Source organism: Homo sapiens, chromosome 5 (assembly GCF_000001405.40).
Source record: "Homo sapiens chromosome 5, GRCh38.p14 Primary Assembly".
In the NCBI taxonomy this organism is placed as follows: Eukaryota; Metazoa; Chordata; class Mammalia; order Primates; family Hominidae; genus Homo; species Homo sapiens.
This window is the reverse complement of record NC_000005.10, coordinates 67,792,974-67,801,900: the sequence shown is the minus strand read 5'-3', so window position 1 is coordinate 67,801,900 and position 8,927 is coordinate 67,792,974. Positions and strand designations below refer to the sequence as shown.

General features: G+C 38.4%; 1 long non-coding RNA gene across 1 annotated transcript; it reads right to left on the bottom strand.

The window, feature by feature from the left end:
- Positions 1–842: 842 nt before the first annotated feature.
- LINC02997 (long intergenic non-protein coding RNA 2997) lies at positions 843–8,688 on the bottom strand. Its single transcript, NR_130779.1, has 3 exons — positions 8,609–8,688; positions 4,145–4,272; positions 843–2,191 (listed from the first exon to the last, which is right to left on the bottom strand). It is a non-coding gene; the product is annotated as a long intergenic non-protein coding RNA 2997 (long non-coding RNA).
- Between the last annotated feature and the right edge of the window lie 239 nt (positions 8,689–8,927).

The window sequence follows — 8,927 nt, the reverse complement described above, 5'->3', positions numbered from 1 at the left end:
GTAGCATCTGGTGACGACCTTTCTATTCTCTGCTTCGATGAATTTGACTTTTTTAGATTCCACCTATGAGATCATGCAATATTCGTCTTTCTGTGCTTGGCTTACTTTATTTAGCACAGTATCTTCCAGTTCCATGCATATTATTACAAATTACAGAATTTCCTTCGTTTTAAGGCTATACAGTATTCCGCTGTGTACATACCACATTGCCTTGATCCATTCGTCTCCTGAGGGACACTTAGGTTGCTTCCATATTTTGGCAATTGTAAGAAATGCTGAAATGCATAGATTTACTTTGTAAAGACTTATCCCCTCTGTTGGGGTTATCTCAATATATCTGATACATTTGATGACTGTATCCCAAGGGTTAACAGGCTTTAATTCAGCATGTTCTTCAGATGCCGTGTAAATTAATGGATGAAAATAGATTTGCAGGAGATGGGGTGTTGCCTTTCTATACTCTACTAGGTGAGCCCTAGCTCCAGCCTAACCAAAGCCCATGTTACTATTCTCAAACCACTTTAGGGTTCGTTTTAATTTTTGGACACAGTAAGCTCTTTTTTTTTTGTGTTACAGGGAGTTTGCACTTATTTTTTTCTCTTCTGGGAACCCTGTGCCCCTGATGATTGCTCAAGTCTCAGTTTAACTGTCACCTCCTCAGAGAGGCATTTTCTTCTATTATATTACTCTATTTATTTATTCTTTAGCACTTTTCATAGTCTGCATTTATTTTGTTTATTTCCCTGTTCCCTTGTTTCATGTAAGAACCACAAGAGCAGCAGCCTTGCCTGTCACCACTACATCCCAGGGCCTAACATAGTGAAGGACAGAATACATAATAATAACAGTTAACATTTATTGGGCACTTACTATTTGTAGAGTACTGTACTAAGTACTTTTACATCTATTAACTCACCCAGTCTTAACTTGCTCGTTTTTTACAGATGAGGAAGCTGGAACTTGTAGGGGATTTAAGAACCTAGCCACACATCAAGCACTTGGTAAGAGGTGAAGCTATCTATGGTTTGGTGACTCCAAGCTTTCAGCTTTACATTATTCTGCCTCTCCTCATCTGCTTCTGCAGGCGGTCATGTTAGCACAGATCAAAGTCATGCCATGGTCCCAGTACCTTTTTTCTTTTCAAAAGTTATCTCAAGTTGTATTCATTTGCCTTTGAAGAAAACTTACTATTTTCCCCTCTATCTAGCATGATGTCTTACATTGGGGGACCATGTCCTAGGTCACCAAAGGTGTCAAAAGGCTTTTCAGCCCTGGTTTTCCAGATCTGTGCACATGTATCCTCTCCAGAATGACCAGTCACTGGTAGGAGGATGGTCATGCCTTTCTTGCTCATTCTACAGTCCACTGACCACTGCCAGAGGCTTTTTTCCTCTCCACGTGTAAGCCTTCTTATTTCTTTCATCTGGGTGGTGTCTGTTCTGGTGTTACAAATATTTTTTTCTCATTCTCTTTGTGTATACTATGTATGCTGATTTTTCCTCAGTGTTTGCCTGCCATACTGACACCAGCTCCCTCTGCACTTAATGCCCCCCTCTTATTCCACATGTGATGGGGCAGCCAACTGCCCAGACTTTAGAAGGACTGGAAAGAGACGGTTTCTTTTTTACCCTGTGATACCCTTTTTCCATTCCCCAGTAAGCTGTTCCTCCAATGCTGTCTCTGGGGGACATGTTGCTGCTCTTGCCTGGAGCTGCACTGGTTACTTGGTCTGGGCTCATGTACAGCTCTAATTCAATTTACAACACAGTTACATAACTGTTCCCAGTCTCCAGTTGACCTTGATGTCAAGCAGCGGTCAAGTTGTACCAGCCCAGAGAAAGGAGGAGGAATCTCTGGTCAGCCCTTGAGAACATTTTAGCTGGGGTTCTGGAATGGAATGTGGCACCAAAAGGCCAAACCAGACCAGTAAATTCTTTGGAAGTTTGAAAAGCGAGTGTTGTTGATTTTTGTAAGACGGATGCTGTTGACTTTCAGGGCAATCCTGTGTCACTCAGGATTGTGTTCTTGGACCAAAGATGAGGGTGCTGTCCTCTTTTCCCATGAATCGCTGTAAGTGGATGAGCCTTTCGGCCTCAATGGGAAGTGCTCCTAGGAGTGTCTTGGCTTGGAAACTTCTCAAGGACAAACCTTTAGCACATTCTTTTCTGAAGAGTTCTGGTTCTAGTCAGTTCTAAACAGTGACAAGAATAGCTAAGTTTTGCTTCTGTTCTTAATAAAGTCAGGAAGACAGGGGTTTTAGCCAAAAAAAAAAACAAAAAACAAAAAACAAACAAATACAAACTAAAGCCTGGGCAAATCAGTCAAAATTTCAGAAATGTAATAGTATGAAAACCCTCTAGGAGCAAGTACTCTGTTTATTTTGTTCTCTGCTATATCTTTACACCATGAATAATATCTGGTATGGACTAGGTACTCAGAGAATATTTGTTGGATGATGTATAATAGGATCTGTGGATTGTGACAAGTCATCTTTTTCTAGTTAATCTTGCAAAGGCTACCATACTAGAGATTTTCAGAAGTCTGTTTTACATATTTTAATCATATATGTGTTTGTGCAAATATAATGCTAGATAAATATTCTACAAATGTATGCATACAAATGTCTATATCTATCATGATTAATGATCATTAACTGGTTACTCATCTATGATAAGCACATTAGTAGATTGTGCCTGGATTTAAAGATTGCCTTAAATAAACATCTTTCATTTATACTAATTTGACTATCCTCATTGACAGAACTAGATTCACGGGACTTGTGAGATTTATGCAGTTACAAAAGGTTCCTTGCTTAGAAGGACCTCATACTTGGTTTAGTGCTCTTCAAATTCATAATAATTTTTGAACAAGATGACCCTATATTCATTTTACACTGGACCCCACAAAGGTAATTCTGCCAGAAGTATAGAGAGAACAAGTGTAGAAAAATACTATCTATCTAATATCACCTTTTATATATTAACAGCCCTGAGTGAGAACAGTTGCTTACTGACTATGGCAACAACTAGGATAACACGTGATATGGGTTGGCTGTATCCCCACCCAGATCTCATCTTGAATTTTCACATGTTGTGGGAGGGACCCAGTGGGAAGTAATTGAATCATGGGGCAAGTTTTTCCCGTGCTGTTCTCGTGATAGTGAATAAGTCTCATGAGATCTGATAGTTTTAAAAAGGAGAGTTCCCCTGCACAAGCTCTCTCTTTGCCTGCTGCCATCCATGTAAGATGTGACTTGCTCCTCCTTGCCTTCCGCTATGATTGTGAGGCCTCCTCAGCCATGTAGAACTGTAAGTCCAATTAAACCTCTTTCTTTAGTAAGTTTCCCAGTCTCTTGTATGTCTATCAGCTACGTGAAAACAGGCTAATACATCATGCATATCAAGAAAGGATTAATCTACTACTACTTCAAGACATTAACTGATTAATTAACTTTACTAATGACAAATGCACCAAATATATATTCTTTCAAAAAGAATAATCCAGAATGTAATTCGTGAATTCACTGGTAGCTCTTCTCTGCTGTCAACTATCTCCGCTTTAGCAATCTCTGCCTTCCAAAATTCAATAAATTTAATAGGACATAAATATTCATAAGTCATCCATATTGTTTATCTTTTTTGACAGCACAACCATTCTCATTCCTGAAAATTCCTATTGTTTGGCTTGTATCACATTTTAGTACTTGATGAAAATCAATTTTGAATTCGAATACATGCTGCAATCTAGTTCTTTTTAAAGGGTTTCCACATCAAATGATTTTCAAAATTTTGCTCCCCAGAAAGTGTAGATAGGGCAACATATATAATGCTAATTTTTAAAATATTACATAGCCCGAAACTGGGCACATAATAGCCAATGAGTAAATACCTAATTAAGTAAATTGAACTAACTAGCAATTAGTAATTTCCTATGTACCATGCAGGAACATACACATAATAACTTTCATGTATCTTTTTTTAAGTAATGGTTAAACTCCTAAACAGTTGCTTTTGCTCAAAAATTTTTAAAGTTGCCAAATATTAGATGGTTGCCTACACATGCTGCTTATATAAAAACAAACAAATGCAAACCTCTTTGTATTTTTCAAAATAGAAAACTGAAGAAAATTTTTAAAAAGTCAAACCTTTGAAACACGTAGTGATCTTTCAGTAGATTTCATTTTTCCAATGTTGCTTCATTTCAAAGCACACCAACTGCTCTGGCTTGGCTTTGCTGAACCATTTAACACCCACTTGCATCTCAGAAAGTTTCCTGTGTTTATAATTACAAAGGATATTTCATGACAACCTGTTTGTTGTTTATTTATTTATTTATTACAAACATCAAGTCACTCAGCACGTTGGCTGAGCAGAGCAGGTTCATTCTCACGCACATCTTGATATGTAACTGAAGTTGTTGCTTTAAGTCAAGTTGAGGCCAGATCCTCACAGCCAGACAGTTCTTAATTGCTTCATTTTTGAGATAGAGATTTTCTGAAATATATTTTCTTGCAGAGGAGAAAAAATTTTAAAACTTTGCTTTCACTTCACACTGGGAACAAGGAACAAGCAGATGGAAAATAATGAGTTTCTTCAATACTGTCTTGGCTAGAGAAATATTTTCTTAGACTCCACCTTTTTCTACATGTTCCAGCAACACCAAAATCCTGTTTTCCATTAGTTTGATTCTTGTTAACTACACTTCATTCCTCTCTGAGTAGAGTAAATCACAGATGGAGTGCCATACCATCATGGTGCCCAGATACAAAAAATGTTTGCAACTTTGACATCAACAGAGAATCTAAAACTTAAACTCATGCCATCATATGCATCCTAGCAAAGAGAGTATTCATTTTTACTGTTCTTTTGAAGAGAGGCTAAAGTCTTTCATTTAAAATTTCTTCATTTAAAAAACATCTCCATAGAAAAACAAAACGAAAACTAAAAAAACACAATGAAATAATGACTTACCACATGTAAATGGACTAGAGTAAATAATATCTGAAAAGAATCAACTTAAAGTGTTTAAATAGCTATTAATTGCATCATAAAAATAATCTTAAGACTGCATGTACAGGCTTAAAGAAAAAAATTAGACCTAAGTGGAAAGCAGAAGGCATCTTAGAAGCATCTACATCTCCTATCATTTTCCACAAGGAAATTGCATAAAAATCCTCTCCTTGAGAAAATTCAATCCTCCACTTGCTATAGGCAAATAATCCTCTTTTCTTATTTTCAGTTTTCTCAAATTGGGATTCAGTTTAAGTGGCTTCTCCCAGATCTTTCGGGTTTCCCTGGTTTTTAAAACATATTATCCCCCAGAATGTTCTTCGTCATTCAAAACATGAAACACTTTCAGGAAATCTACATACATCCAATAACCATTACATAGTTAGGCACTCATTCCAAAGAGGAAAAGAAAAAAGAAAAAGAGAAGCTTAAAGGGATTGGCTAAAGTGGGTGATCTACCAGGATGTCAGGAATAAGTGATTCTTGGTGAAACACCTCGAACACATTCTTATTTTCAGTGTGGCTGAAAGCCTGAAGGGGGTTGAGCTGAGGAGGGTGGCATGAAAAAGCGATAAAGTGAGCAGGCTGGTACATGTCCAGTATGCAACCCTAACTACTGATCAATGATCTCTAACCAAACATTTGGAAGAGTTGGTAACTTATCCTCTGATCTAGTGTAATTTTTCAAAGACACTGATGTCATCATGGGTAAATAAGAATTTGACATTGAATAACCACCCCCCGCCCCAAGATTTAGGGAAGTGAAATGGATTATGAATGACTGTCTCTGTCTGTTTTCTGCTGCTATAACAGAATGCCACAGACTGGGTAATTTATAAAGAAAAGAAATTTATTTGGCTCATGGTTCTAGAGCCATGATTCATCTTGATGCAAATTCCCTCCAGCTGTGAGCCTGTGAAATCAAAACAAGTTATCTACTTTCAAAATACAGTGATAGGACAGGCGTAGGATAGACATTCCCATTCCAAAAGGAAGAAATAGACAAGAAGAAAGGCGTAACTAGTCTCAAGTAAGTTCAAAGCCCAACAGGGAAAACAATATTAAATGTTAAAGCTGGAGAATAATCTCCTTTGACTCCATGTCCCACTTCCTGAATACACTGGGGTGGGAATTGAGCCCCCAGGGCCTCACATAGCCCCACCCCCAGGCCTTTGCTGGGCTTAGCCCACTCAGCTGTCAGGCGTTGGAGTCTCATGCTTGCAGCTCTCCTAGGCTAACATTGCACATTGACAGCTCTACAGTTCTTGAGTCTCAGTGGCCGTCCCAATCCTATAGCTCCACTAGGCATCACACTAGTGGAGACTCTCTGTGGTGACTCCACTCTTGCAGCAGGTTTCTGCCTGGGGCCCCCAGATTATTCATGACATCTGTTGAAATCTGGGTGGAGGTAGCCATGCCCCCAAAGCTCTTGCATTCTGCAAACCTACAGACTGAACACCACATGGATGCCATCAAGGATGGATTACTGCTTGCATGCTCCAGAGTGGCCTATACCATACCTTGGCCTGCTTGAGCCCTGGCTAGGGCAGTCAAGGAGAACTGCACTGAAATACAGGGAGAAGCAGATACCTGAGTAAGCTCTGAGGAGAGAGCCCACGAAGAGTTCCCTGGGCCTGTCCCCTGAAACCATTCTTCCTTCCTAGAGCTCTGCGCCTGTGATAGGAGGGCAGCCTCTAAGAGCTCTGAAGTGCCTTCAGAGTCCTTCTCTCATTGACTTGGTTAATAGCAGCTGGCTCCCCTCTGTCCATGGGAATCTCTTTACCAAATAGTTGCTTGGCTACACCCTTGATTTGCTCTCCTAAAGATGTATTTTCACTCTTTACATGGCCAGGCTGTGAATTTTCCAAATCTTTCCATTCTGCTTCTCTTTTAATTATAAATTCTATCTTTAAGTCATTCTTTTCCTCTCACATGTCACTATATGTGTTTAAAAGTAGCCATGCAGTGGCCTGAATGGTTTGCTGCTTAGATATTTTTTCTGGCAGATATTCTGTCATTGCTCTTAAGTTCTACATTTTATAAAGCCTTCAAACATACACACAATTTTACCGAGTTTTTTGCTACTTAATAACAAGGATGGCTTTTACTCTAGTTTCCAATACCTCGTTTCTTATTTCTGTCTGAGGCTTCATCAGATGGCCTTTAACTGCCCATATTTTTACGAACATTCTGGTCACAACCACTTAAGTAATCTCTAAGAAAATTCAAATTTCCTTATAATTCTCCTTTTCATCCAAACCCTCACCAGAAACATCCTTAATGCTTCACTGCAATACAGACTTTTTCTAGCCTGATTCTCCAAATGCTTTTAGCCTCTACCATTACCCAGTTCCAAAGCTGCTTCTACTTTTACAGGCATCCGTTCTAATAACAGCCGCATTTCTCAGTACCAATTGTCTGTTTCACAGATTAATGAGTGATTCTTTCCTGTTGAGATCTGTGTTTGCAAGTATCTTCACATCATGAAGTGTCTCACTCTTAAGGAAAATAAAAAAGCTTGCAAAGCCTTTAAGGGTGCTTCACCCCCCAAATAAAAGAAATATATTGTATTTCATGATAAATGAAGGGCATCTGCAACCTTTATCTTACACAGGGTGAATCACAGAACTCATGTTTTTAAAAGGAAGAAAAATGGCTTGAAAGGAATTGTTTCAGAGTAGTAAAGTCATTTCCAAAGAAAACCAAATGAAAAATCAACCAAATTACATAGAGTAACTCTGCGCTGAGTAACTAATTAATCATGGTATCCAGGGTAGTCTATCTAGCTCTTGGTTTTCTGCGGTCTCAATAATAGGTAAATAGAATCTTAGAGAAAAAAAAAGGCTTGTCAGATGTGTTTTTGCTTGTTTTTAACAAAGGCAGCAATGCACTCAGGAGTGCTTAATTGAATTCACAAAGCCAGTCAATGTGTTTAAATGTTATCATTGTAAAGCTACATTAAGTATCAGAGCAGCTTTTTGAAGCCAATATTTTTAAATAAAAAAATATAATTTAAAGAGGATCATGGTCCAGTGGTGAAAAACCAGGGCTTTTCCTTACTCCAGCTATTTAGTGCAGAAAAGTTTATGATAATTATTAGAATGACAGGCAATGCTGAATTTCTACTATGTAACATGTTAGGAAATGAAGACTTCTTTGGAATTGAAGAACTTTAGAATCAACCAAGAGTTGTGCAAATACAAGGCCTTGGCTTCAAAAGGGAAATTTAGTTGTAATCAAATCCTGCTCCTCGTTGTATTTTTTGGCCCTAGGTCATAGGGCTCTGTTGAAGGTGATGTTGTGCCATCATTCTAAGACATTCTACTATAACTTACTGAGTACTAAGTTTCCATCCATATGCCTGGCCTCCCAGGTCATAAGACACAGACACAGACCACCAGGAGGGTGCAGTGCAGTATATGGTGACTGCTAAACCCCTCACATTAAACAAAACAAAAAAGAAGTAATTATTGCTAAGCAAACATGAGGTTTTAAAAAGGCACTTATTATACAGAGAGGAATATAAAAAGACAAATATACTAAAGCCTGGTAAATATTTCTATTCTGAAAAAAAAAGAAAGTTATCTTTTAAAACTCACAGGGAAAGCTCCACTTTGGTTTCAGTCATCATCTTTGGAAGAAAAGGAAGTTGGATTTTTCCATTAACACCTCACAGTGCCTTTCTCTCCATCCTGGGTGGTGGCCACGCCGCTGTCAGCCTCTTCACACGGCTCAGCTGTGGTCAGGGTTGGCCCTTAATGTTGAATTTGGTGTGGTGATTTCAACAGACTCATTCACTGGCAGATATCCTGCCACACAGAGAGAATTTTTTGACCAGGTTGTAGCAATTTTCAATAAAAGGACAAACATAAATGGAACTCTCTGTACTTTTTCATTATACAAATAGCCAATGTTTAG